The 18,089-nt window shown below is 38.3% G+C and overlaps 1 non-coding gene and 1 pseudogene across 2 annotated transcripts in view; both read left to right on the top strand.

The window, feature by feature from the left end:
* The window catches only part of SMG1P3 (SMG1 pseudogene 3), a 55,599-nt pseudogene extending 38,029 nt beyond the window's left edge, over positions 1-17,570 (top strand). Inside the window, exons 13-29 of the transcript NR_027155.2 lie at positions 260-550; positions 4,033-4,163; positions 4,318-4,473; positions 5,614-5,732; positions 6,204-6,291; positions 6,381-6,482; positions 7,102-7,242; positions 7,794-7,993; positions 8,381-8,577; positions 8,746-8,910; positions 10,012-10,166; positions 11,179-11,321; positions 11,470-11,671; positions 14,555-14,664; positions 15,644-15,791; positions 16,166-16,325; positions 17,056-17,570. The product of NR_027155.2 is annotated as an SMG1 pseudogene 3 (transcript). The remainder of the gene's footprint in view (positions 1-259; positions 551-4,032; positions 4,164-4,317; positions 4,474-5,613; positions 5,733-6,203; positions 6,292-6,380; positions 6,483-7,101; positions 7,243-7,793; positions 7,994-8,380; positions 8,578-8,745; positions 8,911-10,011; positions 10,167-11,178; positions 11,322-11,469; positions 11,672-14,554; positions 14,665-15,643; positions 15,792-16,165; positions 16,326-17,055) is intronic.
* Positions 6,824-6,927, top strand: LOC124903800 (small nucleolar RNA U13). The gene has a single exon (XR_007065245.1). It is a non-coding gene; the product is annotated as a small nucleolar RNA U13 (small nucleolar RNA).
* Positions 17,571-18,089: the final 519 nt, after the last annotated feature.

Genomic DNA, 18,089 nt, shown 5'->3' with positions numbered 1-18,089 from the left:
AAATTTCCTATTGACAGTTTTCATTTATAGTACTCTTTATTTGTGATAAAACTTAATAGATTTGAAATAGCATACTGATCTGTGTCAGTTTTCTGATTGGTTTTTAAAAAATTAAAATATTAAATGCTACAGACAGTGAATTGATCGATCTTAAATTTATTTGTATCATCAGCACTAATACAGATAGTGATTTATTTTCCATATAATTTTAGAAGATTTATTTTCCATTTATCACTTCCTTGAATTTTTTGTTTTTCAGGTTGTTGCTGTAGCCCGTGCTGTTTATCAAGCAGTGCTCAGCTTGAAGAATATTCCTGTTTTGGAGACTGCCTATAAGTTAATATTGGGAGAAATGACTTGTGCCCTAAACAACCTCCTGCACAGTCTGCAGCTTCCTGAGTCCTGTTCTGAAATAAAACATGAGGCTTTTAAGAATCATGTGTTCAATGTAGACAATGCAAAATTTGTAGTTAAATTTGACCTCAATTGACTACAAAATTTGTAGTTAAATTTGACTACAATTGGAAATGCCAAAAACTCACTAATAGGGGTGAGTCTTTAATTGTAATGACTTTGTTTTATCCACATTACATATTTATGTATTTCACTGTTATGTCAACATGTCTGCAGAATCACTGTATGTAACAAACAGCCATATTTAAGACATGCCTGGATAAATAAAATTGGTAGGAATGTTTTCTTGCCATTATATTTAACTTTTCTTCTTTTTCCTTGACAAATCTTGATAAGTTTTTTTATATTAGTTTTATTTTCTAGAAAATGTCTTATGAATTTCTCCTATTTGCTCTAGCATGCTTACAGAAAATGTCAGTGTTTCTTACAGCTCAAATTTGTATAGTTGTTTTAAAATGCGGTCTCTTTCTTCTTCCCCTGGTACTTTTTTCTTTCTGTGTACTGAAGTTAGTTCTTATACATGGTCTTATATTTTGGCTGTCTGTTTTTCCCTAGGAACATTCATACAGGTTGAATATTCCTTATCTGAAATACTTGGGACTGGAAGTGTTTTCGATTTTGGATTTTGGAATACTTTTTTTTTTTTTTTGGAGATAGTGTTTTTACTCTTGTTGCCCAGGCTGGAGTGCAATGGCGCGATCTTGGCTCGCTGCAACCTCCGCCTCCCGGGTACAAGCGATTCTCCTGTTTCAGCCTCCCAGGTAGCTCGGATTACAGGCATGCACCACCACCCCTGGCTAATTTTTTTGTATTTAGTAGAGATGGGTTTTCACCATGTTAGCCAGGCTGGTTGTGAACTCCTGACCTCAGGTGATCCACCTGCCTTGGCCTCCCAAAATGCTGGGATTACAGGTGGGCACCACCATGCCCAGCCGGAGTTTGGAATATTTTCATAACACTTACTGGTGAGCATCCCTAATCTGAAAATCCTAAATCTAAAATGCTCCAAAATTTGAAACTTTTTGAGCACCAGTATGATGCCCCAAGTGGAAAATCCCACACCCGACCTCATGTGATGAGTCCAAACTGTTGTATGCCCAAAATTATTTAAAATATTGCATAAAATGACCTTCAGGCTATGAATAGAAGGTGTCTATGAAACATAAGTGAATTTCGTCTTTAGACTTGGGTCCCATCCCCCACATATCTCATTTTATATATATGCAAGTATTCTCAAATCCAAACATATACAAAGTCTGAAACACTTCTGGTCCCAAGCATTTTGAATAAGGGATACTGAACCTGTAGTCTTCCTTTTGGTGGTGGTGGGGGGACTTTTTTTTTTTTTTTTTTTTTTTTTTTTTTTTTTTGGGGGGGAGACAGAGTCATGCTGTTGTCAACTGGGCTGGAGTGCAGTGGTGCAATCTCGGCTCACTGCCACCTCTGCCTCCCGGGTTCCAGCAATTCTCCTGCCTCAGCCTCCCGAGTAGCTAAGATTACAGACACTTGCCACTACGACGGGCTAATTTTTGTATTTTTAGTAGAGACTTGGTTTCACCATGTTGGTCAGGCTGGTCTCAAACTCCTGACCTCAGGTGATCCACCTGCCTCAGCCTCCCAAAGTGCTGGAATTACAGGCATGAGCCACCGCGCCCAGCCCGTGTGGTTTTTTTTTTTTTAAGTAATTCGACATGGCCCTGCTCTTGATTTGTATTTATTGTTTATGGTTTGTGTATTTCTTCTTCCTATTGGACCACACAGAGTTGAAAAACATCATTTTTAATAGAAAATAATAGGTGTAGGCTGGGCACGGTTGCTGACACCTGTAAACCCAGCACTCTGGGAGGCCAAGTCAGGCTGATCACCTGTGGTCAGGAGTTTGAGACCAGCCTGGCCAACATGGTGAAAGCTCGCCTCTACTAAAAATAGAAAAATTAGCCAGGGGTGGTGGTGCACACCTGTAATCCTAGCTACTTTGGAGGGTGAGGTAGGAGAATTGCTTGAACCCAGGAAGTGGAGGTTGCAGTGAGCTGAGATCACACCACCGCACTCCAGCCTGGGCTACAGAGCCAGACTCTGTCTCAAAAGAAAAAAAAAAAAAAAGAAAGAAACAAAGAAAGAAATGGATGTAATTAGGGAATAAAGTTTTTAGGAGGAAGAAGGTAAAATTTGATGTTTGCGCTTCAATGTGCTCCGTGTTGTTTGATTGGATTGCCTTGTATAATTCCATAGCTGCTTCGCTTATTACCAGTTACAGTTTATGTTTGAAGTCACAATAAACTCTTCTTCAAACATGAAAGCTTGATTTTTGAGGAAAATTATTCACATTATTTACAGATTCAAAGATGTTTATGTCCTGTACTCTAGAAATAAGGAGAAAGTGGGTGGGGATGGGGCAGTCAGGTGGAGTGGAGTGTCTTGGCAGTGTAAAGGAAAAAGATGGATGGAAAAGGTGTAGGGTGGCAGGGTGTGCCTCTGTTTCCTTATTGAACAGGGCACCTTGCCATTTGCAGTATATGGAAAATTGAGGAAATACAGTCTACTTCCGCAAAAGGCACATACAAAGGGCTCTGTTTAGACCAGAGATCAGCAAACTATGGTCTGTGGGCCAAATACAGCCCAGCACCTGTTTTTTGTCTGTTATTTTAAGTGTATAATTCACTGATTTTTACTATATTCACAGAAGTGTACAACCATCACAACACTAGTGCCTGTTTTTGTAAAGAAAGTTCTTGTTGGGCTGGGCGCAGTGGTTCACGCCTGTAATCCCTCGGGAGACTGAGACAGGCAGATCACCCAAGCTCAGGAGTTCAAGACCAGCCTGGCCAACATGGTGAAACCCTATCTCTACTAAAAAAATACAAAAGTTAGCAGGGCGTGGTGATGGGCACCTGTAATCTCAGCTACTTGGGAGACTGAGGCAGGGAGAATTGCTTGAACCCCGGAGGTAGAGGTTGCAGTGAGCTGAGATCGCCCCATTGCACTCCAGCCTGGGCGACAGAGCGAGAGACTCCGACTCAAGAAAGTTTTCTTGGAACACAGGTACTCTCATTCCTGTGTTTTGTGTGTGGCTGGTGTTTTGTTTTGAGAGAGAGAGTCTTAACTTTGTCATCTAGGCTGGAGTGCATTGGTATGATCTCGGGTCACTGCAACCTCTGCCTCCCAGGTTCAAGCGATTCTCCTGCCTCAGCCTCCCGAGTAGCTGGGATTACAAGTGTGCGCCACCATGCCCAGCTACTTTTTGTAATTTTAGTAGAGATGGGGTCCCGCTGTGTTGCCCAGGCTGGTTTCAAACTCCTGGGCTCAAGTGATCTGCCCACCTTAGCCTCCCAAAGTGCTAGGATTACAGGTGTGAGCCACAACACCTGACCTGTGGCTGTTTTCTTACTGTAGCGATAGACGAGGAGTTGCTGCATTGCATAGAGATGCTATATTGCACGCAAAGGCTTTACTGACTTCACAAAAAAGTATTTGTCCCAGGTGTAGTGTACTAGATCCCTTCCAATCTGTAATTTTAATTTAAAAATGTCCAAATACCCCTGTTTTGAAGGATAAACTCTGTATGCTTGTGCTTATTTTGGAGAAGCCATAAACTTACTTTGTTTTGTACATGATCAGATGTGGGCGCTATCTCCAACTGTCTTTGCACTTCTGAGTAAGAATCTGATGATTGTGCACAGTGACCTGGCTGTTCACTTCCCTGCCATTCAGTATGCTGTGCTCTACACATTGTATCCTCATTGTACCAGGTACTGTATTCACAAATTTTTCTTAAGAAAAGAACCCCACAAAACATTTTATTTTTTTAATGGATAGATTTTGAAGATGTATGTTGATTTAACTTTGGACTTGCTTGCTTTCTTTGATTAAAGATGAAAAGATAATCTATGCTTTGTCTTTCAGGCATGATCACTTTATCTTTAGTAGCCTCAGTTCTTCCTCTCCTTCTTTGTTTGATGGAGCTGTGATTGGCACTGTAACTATGGCCACAAAGAAACATTTCTCAATTATATTAAATCTTCTGGGAATGTTACTTAAGAAAGATAACCAGGACACGAGGTAACAGATATTATATAGTATTAACCATTCCTAACTTTGTTAATTTGCCTTTATAATTTGAGAAGAAGAAATGTGGATTACAAAAAATTTAAAAAAATGTGGATTATAGAGGTGAGGTAGAGCAGCTTCTTTATTGTCAAACACCTTATAATTTGGTTTTATTATTTAATCTAGGCTTTCTTATTCTTTCTGAAAAGAAATACATGAAAAACCTCAATCCCCCACGCCCAGTGTTTCATAGAAGAATATATATAGATTTTTAATATTCTTTGCTTTTTTTTTTTTAAGACGGAGTTTTGCTCACTGTAACCTCTGCCTCCCAGGTTCAAGCAATTCTCCTGCCTCAGCCTCCCAAGTAGCCGCGATTACAGGTGCCCGCCACCACACCTGGCTAATTTTTGTATTTTTTTTTTTTTTTTTTTTGTATATATGTTAAGGTTTAATACCCAAAGTATATAAAAAACTTCTACAATTCAACAACAAAAAGACAAAACATTTTAAAACAAAATGGTTGTAAACAAACAACAAAAAGACAACCATTTTTGTCCATCTTACAATGGACAAAAGGCTTGAATAAACATTTCTCCAAAGAAGATAAACAAATGGCCAATAAGCACTTGAAAAGATGTCAACATCATTAGTCAATGGAGACATACAAATTAAAACTCCAAGCTATCACTTCACACTTACTATGATGACTATTATTAAAAAATGGAAAATAACAAGTGTTGTTGAGGATATGGGGAAATTGAAATCTTTATAAGTTAGCAATAGGAATGTGAAATGGTGCAGCTGATGTGGAAAACAGTTTGGCAGTTCCTCAATAATTTTTGTATTTTTAGTAGAGATGGTGTTTCACCATGTTGTTGGCCAGGCTGGTCTTGAACTCCTGACCTCAGGTAAGCCACCACGCCCGGCCTCTTTGCTATTATCATGCTGCGTTGGGAGGTTTTCTTAAAAGGCACACAACAATTTTGACAGTAATTTCTATAGTTTCATTTTTTATTTTTATTTTTTATTGTTTGAGATGTTTGAAAAACCAAGAGAAAACCAATGTAAGAAGACTAGGCTTTTAACTTTTTTTTGTTTTTGTTGTTTTTTTTTTTTAATGTACAGTCAACTGTATATTTTGTGTTTCAGGAAACTGTTAATGACTTGGGCTTTGGAAGTAGCTGTTGTAATGAAGAAGTCCGAAACATATGCACCTTTATTCTGTCTTCCGTCTTTCCATAAATTTTGCAAAGGCCTTTTAGCCGACAGTAAGACTCTGGTTTTTTTTTTCTATTTTGTTTATCAGTCCTTAAAAGGGTCTTTGGTAATGGGAGATGGTCATGAATCGAGCTCTTTTCCTGACCTGAAGATGTGTAATCCTCATTTTAATGACAGATACACAGTCTTGATTTTTTTTCATTCTTAGTATTAGAAAAATGTTTTGAAGTGATTGTCACATTTTTAAGCTAACGTGAATGTTTATAGTTTACATATACTTTTACATTTTCTCTCAGAAAAAGTTTTGTGTGATGACCCATCAGTTACATTACGTGGGTTTTGTTGAATGTGTCATTTTTCCAAATGTGACAGTCAATGAGGATTCTGGACAAGAACAGTGCCTAGTCTATAGTAGGCACTCACTCTTTGTTGAATGAATGAATGGATTCAGATAATTATGACAAACTGGGATATAATTTCTTTTGGCCAGCTGAAAGTAACTGTCTTTTAATGTTTAATAGCTCTCGTTGAAGATGTGAATATCTGTCTGCAGGCATGCAGCAGTCTACATGCTCTATCCTCTTCCTTGCCAGATGATCTTTTACAGAGGTATGAAATTAAGATCATGTCTTTTGACATTAACCCTAATAACCTGGAACTGTTAACACACCTGCTTTGTCTATTTCGTTCTTTCATAGATGTGTTGATGTTTGCCGTGTCCAACTAGTGCACCGTGGAACTTGTATTCGACAAGCATTTGGAAAACTGTTGAAATCAATTCCTTTAGGTGTTTTCCTAAGGTATAACAGTTGTTTTGAAGCAAAGACGTTCTGTGATATTTACAGCCTCTACTGGTTGTCTACTTTAGGAGAAGACAGATCACCTATTAGAGCATTAATGACACATCTTTTATGGCCCTGCTTGTCAGTGATTGAAGTGATGTCAAATAACCAAATTTTGCAGGTCTGCAAGAAAATTAAAAATTTTTAATGAGCTTTATAGGCTCACAATAATTAGTATAGAATAACTCATGTAGTGCCAAAATATGTTTCTTAGTAGCTCAGATATTTGAAAAACTAAACAGTAATCTTTTATTGTTTTTGATCAAGTTGATTTGGGAGCTTTTAAGAGCCTAAACTTGATCCTTTTGTAATAGATAAGCATAATGATTGGGTTTTTATGTTCACATGTTTGATATGCCTCCCTCAAATCCTCTTATGATGTCGGCACATGACCCATCTGAGGTGAATAAAAAAAGGATCTAAAGTTGTAATCACATCTCTGTATCCATTTGAAAGTCTCAATTTTACTATATTTTTACCTCCAGTGAGTTAATAAGTAAATAATCCACTTACAGTATGTGCTAACCTTTTAAGCTAAAATATTTTGCATAACAACAACTTTATTTTCTGTCTACAGCGATAACAATCACACAGAAATTCAAGAAATTTCTTTAGCATTAAGAAGTCACATGAGTAAAGCACCAAGTAATACATTCCACCCCCAAGATTTCTCTGATGTTATTAGTTTTATTTTGTATGGGAACTCTCATAGAACAGGGTAAGACATTTCTTTGACTATTTTATCTGGGAAAGAAAATTTTAAGATTCCCTTGACTTTACATGCAGTTTTGAAGAGAAAATATGTTTGGGGGTGGCAGAGTATCAAGTAACATTCTTCTCATATGGGTTATTTCAGTTTTCATCAATAGGAAAATTGCTTTGAAGATAGCATCTGTAGAAACAAAAATGGGCTTTGAAATTGAGTAATGAAATGTGGTTAACAGTTAACTGATGTGATGTCATTAACACTTTGGGGAGTGGGGTGGGGGTGGAGATATTCTAGAGATGCTTAGTTGCATTGAATGAGTTTCATTCCTGACTGGCATGAGCCGTTTACCCTAATCATCCTTCCACACTGTACCTCATCCTGTTAACTATACAAGACCTCAAAATGAGAGGGGGGGACATAATGCTTCTCAATTTCATAGGTTTTGCCTTTTTTTGGAGTAGGGAAAATTACAGTTCCTTATTCCCATTCCCCTTGCATTTTTTTTTCATTATTAAAATGAAGTTGTCATTGTCTTTTAAATATGAAACTACTTTTCCCAGGAAGGACAATTGGTTGGAAAGACTGTTCTATAGCTGCCAGAGACTGGATAAGCGTGACCAGTCAACAATTCCACGCAATCTCCTGAAGACAGATGCTATCCTTTGGCAGTGGGCCATATGGGAAGCTGCACAATTCACTGTTCTTTCTAAGCTGAGAACCCCACTGGGCAGAGCTCAAGACACCTTCCAGACAATTGAAGGTAACTCGCTCAAGCTTTATGATGTGAATACTTTCAAAGCCTTATTGAGAAATAATGGATTTTTAAATCTTTGTTAAAGATTTGAGGGTATATGATTTTTTTTGAAAAAAGTCAATAATTTTCAGGTTTGTTTGTTAGAATAAGCTTTCATTGAATAATTGCATTGGAAATATGTTTGTTTTTTTTCCAAAACTTATGGGAGTTGTGTGGAAAAAATATATATTTTTTTCCCCTAAAATGAAAGATCTTTCATGTTGGGATTTTTTATTTTTAAATGATGGGTAGACAGAGGATACTTGATAAATGTGAATTGGTCATAAAAAACTCACACTTATTCTAGGAACTTTTAAGATTTTTAAAAATTCAGAATGTTGTCTTTGCTTTCAGGTATCATTCGAAGTCTCGCAGGTCACACATTAAACCCTGATCAGGATGTTAGTCAGTGGACAACTGCAGACAGTGATGAAGGCCATGGTAACAACCAACTTAGACTTGTTCTTCTTCTGCAGTATCTGGAAAATCTGGAGAAATTAATGTATAATGCATACGAGGGATGTGCTAATGCCTTAACTTCACCTCCCAAGGTTGGTTTCCGGGAGATAGTGTTGTTTTATAGCAGTTTAATGGTCACAGCTGGCAGTATGTGCAGAGCTGAAATCACAATAGACTTGTGTATTTGGTTTATATATAGGTGAGACATCCTTACCTACAAATTGAACCAGTCCTGAGCTTTTCTTTCTCTTATCGTAAAGGTCATTAGAACTTTTTTGTATACCAATCGCCAAACTTGTCAGGACTGGCTAACGCGGATTCGACTCTCCATCATGAGGGTAGGATTGTTGGCAGGCCAGCCTGCAGTGACAGTGAGACATGGCTTTGACTTGCTTACAGAGATGAAAACAACCAGCCTATCTCAGGTAAAGTGGTGTGTTTGAAATTCATTTTAAGTCTGTTAATAAGAAAAACATGGTTTAATTCCTTTGGTATGATTTAATCTATGGATAAAATAAGTTAAAGCTTGGATTCATTTTCAAAGGTTTTGATCCTGTATTTTGTAAAAGCAACAACTGCCAGAGTTACCTATTTTATTCGTGTTAAAACAGTGTTAGAAGTCAAAATAATGTTCATGTTTTTGTTCATGTTAAAACAATATTCATGTTAGAACACGTTAAAACTCTATTTCTTCCGTGCAAAGTTTAGAACTTTAAAGGTAATTCTGAAAATTTGTTTATGGGGGAAAATTTTTATTTATTTATTTATTTTTTTGAGACACAGTTTCACTCTGTCGCCCAGGCTGGAGTGCAGTTGTGCGATCTCGGCTCACTGTAAGCTCCGCCTCTCGGGTTCAAGCCTCTTCTTGCCTCAGTCCCTGGGATTACAGGCACCCACCACCATACCCGGCTAAGTTTTGTATTTTTAGTAGAGACAGGGTTTCACCATGTTGGCCAGGCTGGTCTCGAACTCCTGACCACAAGTGATCCGCCCACCTCGGCCTTCCAAAGTGCTGGGATTACAGGCATGAGCCATTGCACCTGGCCAGGAGAAATTGTTTTTATAACGTATGACAAATGCTTGAGTAATTCCTGGATTGAAAGTGGGCTCACAATAAATAACTGGAATCCAAAAATAACAAAATGTTTAGCAATTCAGGTAATGTCAAGCAGTATTCAAACACATGAAGTTAATCATTCCTTAATTCCTGTTTATTTATATTTCATTTTTGCTTTCTTTTTACTCCATGTGTTATTCCTACAGAGGTCACAGGTTAAATGTTTTTGGGTAACTTTGGGGTGGGGGTACAAACATCCATGTGCTGCTAAGGTTCTGTTAGTCACCCTTTGTGGCTATTTTATATGTAACATTTTAAAGAATTCTGAGCTAAATAATGTGAAAATTGTGACAATAATTGTTAAATACATTTGGCTTTAAGCAGGCACAGACTGTGATCAGTTGTAAATTTTATAGGGATTTATGTTTTAATGGTATTGGGTGACTAACTTTTCTGAATGCGTTTTCAGGGGAATGAATTGGAAGTAAGCATTATGATGGTGGTAGAAGCACTATGTGAACTTCATTGTCCTGAAGCTATACAGGGAATTGCTGTCTGGTCATCATCTATTGTTGGAAAACATCTTCTGTGGATTAACTCAGTGGCTCAACAGGCTGAAGGGAGGTAGGTTGGAGGGAAGGAAATGGGTGATAGAATTACTTTATGTTTAAGTTCTTTGTATTACTCACTGACATTGTAGCCAAATCTTAAAACAGCTTTGTTTGCTTTCAGCATTGAAGCTTGCTATAAATCCCTTCACCAGGAGGCATCTTCAGTTTGTTCTTCAGTTAGCAGCAATACTGGAGTGCCTTTCTTATTTAAGAATTAGTGGCAAATCACACTGTAAAACAAGACCTGTCAGTTGTTTTATAAATGCTTTTGAACTTGATCCCTAGTTGAGCTCCTTCCCCCTCAGAGTCTGATACAAATTACCCTTTATTGTCAGAGTATTTGCTCGTTAGTCCTGTGAACTCTACATTCAGACTCATTGCTTCCTCCGGGTAGAGGAGCTTGTACCATAATATTCTGTGTCCATTTATGTTAGTTTAATGAAATCTTGCGAACTTAGGAAAATAAAAGAACTGCTCATACTTCCATATCTTTGTAGTAACTTCTGTTGTGTGTCCTTTTGTAGTCCCATATTTCCATATCCATACGCTTTGTAATTCTTTTTTCTTTCATGTCGTTTTCTCCATTCTTCACCAAAACATCAGCGTACATAGGCACATGGTTTTATGATCTGTTTTTCCCACTCAATATTTAAAAAAACAAAATTTGCCATGTTAGGTAGGCTGGGTTCGGTGGCTTACATCTGTATTCCCAGCACTTTGGGAGGCCGAGGCAGGCGGATCACCTGAGGTCAGGAGTTCAAGACCAGCCTGGCCAACATGGTGAAACCCCGTCTCTACTAAAAATACAAGAAAATTAGCCGGGCATGGTGGCGAGTGCCTGTAATCCCAGCTACTCAGGAGGCTGAGGCAGGAGAATCGCTTGTACACGGGAGGCAGAGGTTGCACTGAGCTGAGACAGTGCCATTGCACTCCAGCCTGGGCAAGAAGAGCAAAACTTCATCTCAAAAAAAAAAGTAAGTAGTTAGATAAATAAAGAAATAAGACTGCTTCAATTTGCTTTTCAGGTTTGAAAAGGCCTCTGTGGAGTACCAGGAACACCTGTGTGCCATGACAGGTGTTGATTGCTGCATCTCCAGCTTTGACAAATCGGTGCTCACCTTAGCCAGTGCTGGGTGTAAGAGTGCCAGCCTGAAACATTGTCTGAATGGTGAGCGTTCAGCATTTTTAAATAAAGCAAAAGTTATAGTAATATATTTCGTACTGATGATCTTATCATGTTTTTAGGTTTCTGTGCTCTTTGAAATATTTCTAATTGATCTGAATCTCTCTCTTCTTATTTTATAAAATACTTTCAGGTGAATCCAGAAAAAGTGTGCTGTCCAAACCGACTGACTCTTCCCCTGAGGTTATAAATTATTTAGGAAACAAAGCATGTGAGTGCTACATCTCAACTGCCGATTGGGCTGCTGTGCAGGAATGGCAGAACGCTATCCATGACTTGAAAAAGAGTACCAGTAGCACTTCCCTCAACCTGAAAGCTGACTTCAACTATATAAAGTAAGGCTTTCTGTTTCCAGTTATAAAACAAATTTCCAATAACTATGATGTTTTTCCTATGGCAAAAAAAATATTAAAATTGGTCATATGCAGTAATACTCAAAATGGTTATATTTCTAACTTACTGCCATTATGAAAATGACAACAGGAAACTGACATCAGAGATGAGGGAAGGTATTTGTATAATGGGAAAACACTGCTGAGATAGTCATTTGGTATTAATTTTCAGAACCTGTCGTTCTAAAACCTTAATACAGTTTGAAGATTATGCCAGAGTGAATATAAAGAAAAATTTGTACTGCTTTAGAAAGAATCACATTTGATGGCTTTGTTTCGAAATGAGGTCTGAATATATCAAAAACATTTATTCTAATGAGGACAGAGTTTGTGAACATCTGTAAATTAAACTTTCTTCTCATTCCTCTGTGCTTTTATTAATTCTGTAATTCAAAACTGAGCACTCACTCTGTTGCAGACACTTGGCTGGGAAGATAAAGGTCATTAGACTTTGTCTGATACCCTTGCCTTCTACTGCTAAATGGGTTAATGTGTAATTGCTTCACTGAGCATGTGCTGTGACCCAGGCAGCACATAAAACAGACACAAATTCCAACCTTTTAAAGCAAAGATTAGATAAAGATTATTGATAGAAGGACTAATTGGACCTCACTCACCTTTTCTGTGCCATAAGGAAAGCAGTTAGGTAAAGCTGACCTTCTTTGGAGGGAAGACACAAGGTCAAGACATGCCCATCAGGATGCCCTTTGGGCCTAGACCTGATGTGAGAATGATGGGCTTGGAGTGTTCTGGAAATAGCTGGGAGGCCTGTGTGTTTAGGAGCGCCTTAAACAGTAGGATATAAGGGCAGAGAAGTAGCTGGGAACTGAGAAAAGAACTTTGGCTGTTATTCTAGTAAGACTGAAAATTTCAGGTGGGATTTGAACAGAGTTGTGTTGTGATCTGACTTGGTTCATTCTGCTGTGGTGAAGAGACTGGAGGTGCGGGGCAAGTATGGAAGCATGGAGACCATTAATTTATGGGGGCAATGGTAGAGGGAAGAGAAACAATGCTATTAACTGGAGTAGGAGCACACAGAGAACAAGCCATGTTTTAAGATTTCTAATGAAATGTGCAGATGAGATTGTTGGGTAAGCTGTTAAGAATTGGATTTTGAACTAAGGAGACAGTCTAAGCTTGAGAGATTTGCAGATGATTAGTACACAGAAAAGGCCCTCTTTCCTTTTCAGTCTCTATACTCTAGAGCCTTTGTAAGCAACCAAACCAGAGAGAAGCCTCTGGAGAATAGTGAGTGAAGAGGAAGGAAGGCCTGGGTCAGAATCCTAGTTTAGCATTTTTGTGAAAGGATAGAAGAGGAAGCCATTCAAAAAAATACAGGGACATTGAGAAGGGAAGTGCCCTAGATATAGGACATCCAGATGGGAGTAGTCAGCCTTGTCAGATGCTCTAGGGATTATAAGGAAAAAGAGTTTTGTAGAGAGACAGAAGAAGCTAGATTGAATAGTATTGAGTGGTAGAGACATTTGAAAATGAAAAGCTTGAGGTAAGTTATTTGGTCAGTGAGTTTTTCTTGAAGTCGAGGATAGGAAGCTGTTGCTGGAGGGAAATATGAGATGTTTATTTTAAATGTTGGAGAGATTATGTTCTTTTGGCCAAGGGGAAGGAGCCACTAGAAAGCAGAGGTTGAAGAAACAGGAGAAAGAACATTGATAGATTAACTGGCCCTCACCTTTTCTCTGCCTCAAGGAAAGCAGTCAAAGTTGGTATAGACAGAATTTCGGCAGTGTATGGTGGATTGGGGGTAGGGGTAGAGGAAATTAAAGCCTGTGTTTTTTTGTTTATTTGTTTGTTTTTTCTGAGGACTGAGTCATTAGCTGAAAGCATAGGGCATTATAGAGCATAGTGGGGACTTGGGGAACCTGCCACTGGAGAGGACTTAGGACCTTTTAATGGCAGAAATGATGACTGTGTTGGCAGCAGTTCATCAGTGCCCAGTACTCAAGGGTCCCCCTGAGAAGCCAGTGGTTGCACTGATCTAGGTAGAATCAGGCACAGAATAAGTCAGGTGATGTGCCTTTCTAGCACTGGCCTCAGGCTGAGTTATAAGGGAAGTTACACAGCGAGAGGGACAGGCAAAGATGGAAAAGAGAGAGAGTGAGAAACAGTGTCTTCTTCCTGGCTGGAGAGCCCGTGTCATGAAAATGGGGACAGGGTAAGGGATCTGAAAGGAGCAGCATAGAAGCTGGGAGGATGAGGCCTGTCTTCCTGGCATTGATGCTGCAGAACTACAGGAAAGAATTTCAGAGGTGTCATTATTTTTCATATAAGCAGATGAAAGAGAAGAATTCTTTGAAAAAAGAAAAGTAGGTGAAAAAGGGAGAGACGGAGGGATGCCAGCAGTGAAAGAAGCCAGGACTGAGATACAAGATTGTGATGCTGGGAGAGCTGTGCAAGGGCTCATGCTGTAGGTGAGGAGTGAGGCTGCACAGGGAGCTCACTGGCAGCTTGGAGAGAACTGGGTGTCAAAGTTGTCCTGCAGAGGTCTACTGTCAGTGTGTCAGGCTCTGAAGAGAACAGGCTGCAACACATGAAAACAGGAAGGAGACACAGGGGCGAGTCAGCTCCACTGAAAGTCTGTAGCTGTGACTTTCTGGTTTGCCACTCCAATTTGAGTACTAATTAAGTGGTAGTCACATCTTCAACATAAAAACCAAAATAATGGCATCCTCGTGGAAGGAATTTTGTCAGAAAAGTGCTGTGTACTTTGCTGTCTTCCTAGGATTTGTTCTGTTTTTGTTTGTTTGTTTTTTTTAATGGTTCCACAGGCTGCATAGGAATACAAGCTAACCAATATTTTAATTACAGATCATTAAGCAGCTTTGAGTCTGGAAAATTTGTCGAATGTACCGAGCAATTAGAATTGTTACCAGGAGAAAATATCAATCTACTTGCTGGAGGATCAAAAGAAAAAATAGGTAGGTATTTGAGAAAATAGTTTTAAAGTTATTTTAGTGGACAAGTTGCTCAAAATGTTTGGCTTAGTATATTTTACTGGAAAATCTGGAAGTTATTTTACATTTTTGTGGGGGCAGAATCCCATGTGAAGCAACAAATTTAGGGCTGCCCTATTTATGTTTGATTTGGGAAATGAAAAGCACTTAAAATTAAGTCAAATAAAAAAAATGACCACCTTAATACTTTGAGATTTATCTAGCCATTTTGTTTGATAAAGGACAAAGTAGTGTTTCAGCTAAATATTTTTCTTGATTTTCATCTTGATGTGGCTCGTTAATTAAGTTCTTTATCACAAATGGAACACTTGATAAGATGTTATTAAAAAGTTTAATGAGTATTCTGGATTGAGCAAGATTTGCTAATGCAGGTCTAGATTTGTCCCCTTAAATAGTAGATTGACTTACCGATTTTCTTTTTTGTTGAGACAGAGTCTCACTCTGTTGCCCAGGCTGGAGTGCAGTGGCGCGATTTCGGCTCACTGCAACCTCCGCCGCCCTCTGAGTTCAAGCGATTCTCCTGCCTCAGCCTCCTGAGTAGCTGGGATTACAGGTGTCTGCCACCGTGCCCAGCTAATTTTTTGTATTTTTAGTAGAGACGGGGTTTCATCATCGTGGCCAGGCTGGTCTTGAACTCCTGACTTCGTGATCCACCCACCTTGGCCTCCCAAAGTGCCGGGATTACAGGCGTGAGCCACCACGCCTGACCTCGACTTACTGATTTTTGAGCCTTTGAAGGCAACTGCTTTTTAGGGGTCTGAGGTACAGTAATTTTGTATGAAGTATGATTTTTATATAGCTCTCAGTAATGCTTATAGTGTTTAACTGCCTGAAATATTAAAGGAGCTGTTCATTGGTGATTAGTTTTTAATAATGCCAAACATAAATCAAAATTTATAATAAAAGCACATTAACTTAATGACATTTCATTTAACTTCTGTAGACATGAAAAAACTGCTTCGTAACATGTGAAGTCCAGATCCAAGGGAACCTCAGAAATCCATTGAAGTTCCATTGTTAAGAAGTTCTGTTTGTTTGGCAACTGCTTTAAACCCGATAGAACAAGATCAGAAGTGGCAGTCTATAACTGAGTAAGTTTACTCTTACGGAGGTAAATGTACATTGTGTATATCATGTGATAAACATACATGGGGTGAAGAGGGCTGGAAGGAGAGTTACTAGATTACTAAATACTAGTGCTAATAGCTTCATTTTAGTTGTAGAAGTCATATGATATATGAATGCTGCTTGCCAACAAAAACTGAGGTTGAAATGAAATAAAATGTAAAAATCCCCAAAAGCAAATGTCTTGACTTGCTGATACCATTTTATTATAGAGCAGGCTGCTCCTCTTACTGCCCCCTAACTTTGGATGTCAATTTGATAGCATCTTATCAATTGCTTTATTCTTTGAGTGGTTATGAATTGTAATTTTTATTAATTGACAGTAAATATTTTGTTTCAGAAATGTGGTAAAGTACTTGAAGCAAACATCCCGCATCGCTATTGGACCTCTGAGACTTTCTACTTTAACAGTTTCACAGTCTTTGCCAGTTCTAAGTACCTTGCAGCTGTATTGCTCGTCTGCTTTGGAGACCACAGTTTCTAACAGACTTTCAACAGAGGTCTGTATATTTTTACAAGCACACTCTTATGACTATTAATGGTCATTACTGTAGAACAAAGACCTTATTTTTTGAGTTTTTTGGAATAGGATTTGTAGTTGGGCAAGCTGGTAAATCCAGAAATCTAACATGCTGTTTTCAGGCAGTCTTTCATTTGGGAAGTACATGGGGCAGATGGAAGAACCTGAGATAATCGCAAGGATGGCAAATTGCTCAGTTTTTTCTTCTATTTTTGGGGTGGGAGGTGGTGTATGTAAAGACAGTTCCTTTAGGCAGATCACGTAAATTTTAGATTTGCTGCAAACAAAGATCTCTCCTCTTCATCCTAAATGGGGTAAAGTTCGACCAGAGATGGGGGCTTCTGAATGAATGGTGATCTTCGAGAACTTCATAATAAAGCATTAGTTGTAATGTTTTTCTGCAGTCTGCTTTATAGTAAATGTGCTGTGACTTTTTTTTTTGTAATGTGCTTTATTAAGTATATTGATAAATTAGACTTAATATTCTGAAGAAGATTTCCCTTCAAAACAAAAGGCTTTCTCTTACTGTGTGCTTGCCTCTTGTGAGTAGAAGATAAATGATGTAAGGGTATAGTGTAATAGATAAAACTACTGCAATCAATCTGAAGTAGCCAAACTATATTGCAGTCTTGGACTTAAGACTTGCTATATATCTGCAAACATATCAACAGCCTGTTTTACGTTGAGTAATTTTGGTTTTTCTCTGGCAGGACTGTCTTATTCCACTCTTCGGCGAAGCTTTACGTTCATGTAAACAGCATGACGTGAGGCCGTGGATGCAGGCATTAAGGTATACTGTGTACCAGAATCAGTTGTTGGAGAAAATTAAAGTTAAGTGGTTTTCCTTTTTTTTTTTTTGTAAGAGAAAATTAAAGGTGGTTTTTTTTTTTTAAATTTTGCTTTATTGAGGTTTATATTACACATTCTAAGTGTATGGTTTGATGAGTTCTAACATGTCTTCACTTGTGTGACCACCAATACGATCGAGATAGAGAACAGCGTCTTACCCCAGAAGGTTCCCTTGGGATCATCTCCTCATTTGCCCCTGTCAGCAGTTACTGATTTGCTTTCTGTCACTATGGATTAGACTTGTCTTTACTAAAGTTTCATGTACGTGAAATCATAACAACATGTTCTCTTGTGTTTGGCTTCTCTTGCTCAGCATGATATTTTTACGGTTCACCCATATTGCATGTATCAGGAATATAATCCTTTTTATTATTGAGTAGTGTTCTATTGTATGTATATACCACAGTTTATTTCTCCCTTCATCCTTTGCTAGATTTTGGGGTTTTTTCACATTGCGCTATTCAGTATAAACCTGCTCTCAACATTCATGTGCAAGTCTTTGAGTGGACATATATTTGCGTTTCTCTTGAGTGAATGCACCTTGTTGGGTCACGTGGCTTAACTTAAAAAAATTTTAATCACTGTGGTGCATATGTAGTGATTATTAGTGATTATCTCATAATTTTATTTTCTTGTTTAATGATGTTGAGTGTATTTCATTTGTATTTTAGTTTGCAAATGTTTGTTCAAATTCTTCACCTGTTTTTAATGAAGACGTACGACTTATTTTTGTGTTCTGAACATAAGTTCTTTGTCACATAAAATGTGCTATGAATGTTGAGTTTTAAATACTCCAAATGAATGGCTAGAGAATTACTATTTGTAGAAATATTTATATGTCAAAGGGATGCTAACAATTTACTTTATTGCTCTAAAATAGAAAAGTTGCCAGAAT

This window comes from Homo sapiens, chromosome 16 (assembly GCF_000001405.40).
Source record: "Homo sapiens chromosome 16, GRCh38.p14 Primary Assembly".
Classification (NCBI taxonomy): domain Eukaryota; kingdom Metazoa; phylum Chordata; class Mammalia; order Primates; family Hominidae; genus Homo; species Homo sapiens.
This window is presented reverse-complemented; position numbering and strand designations above follow the sequence as displayed.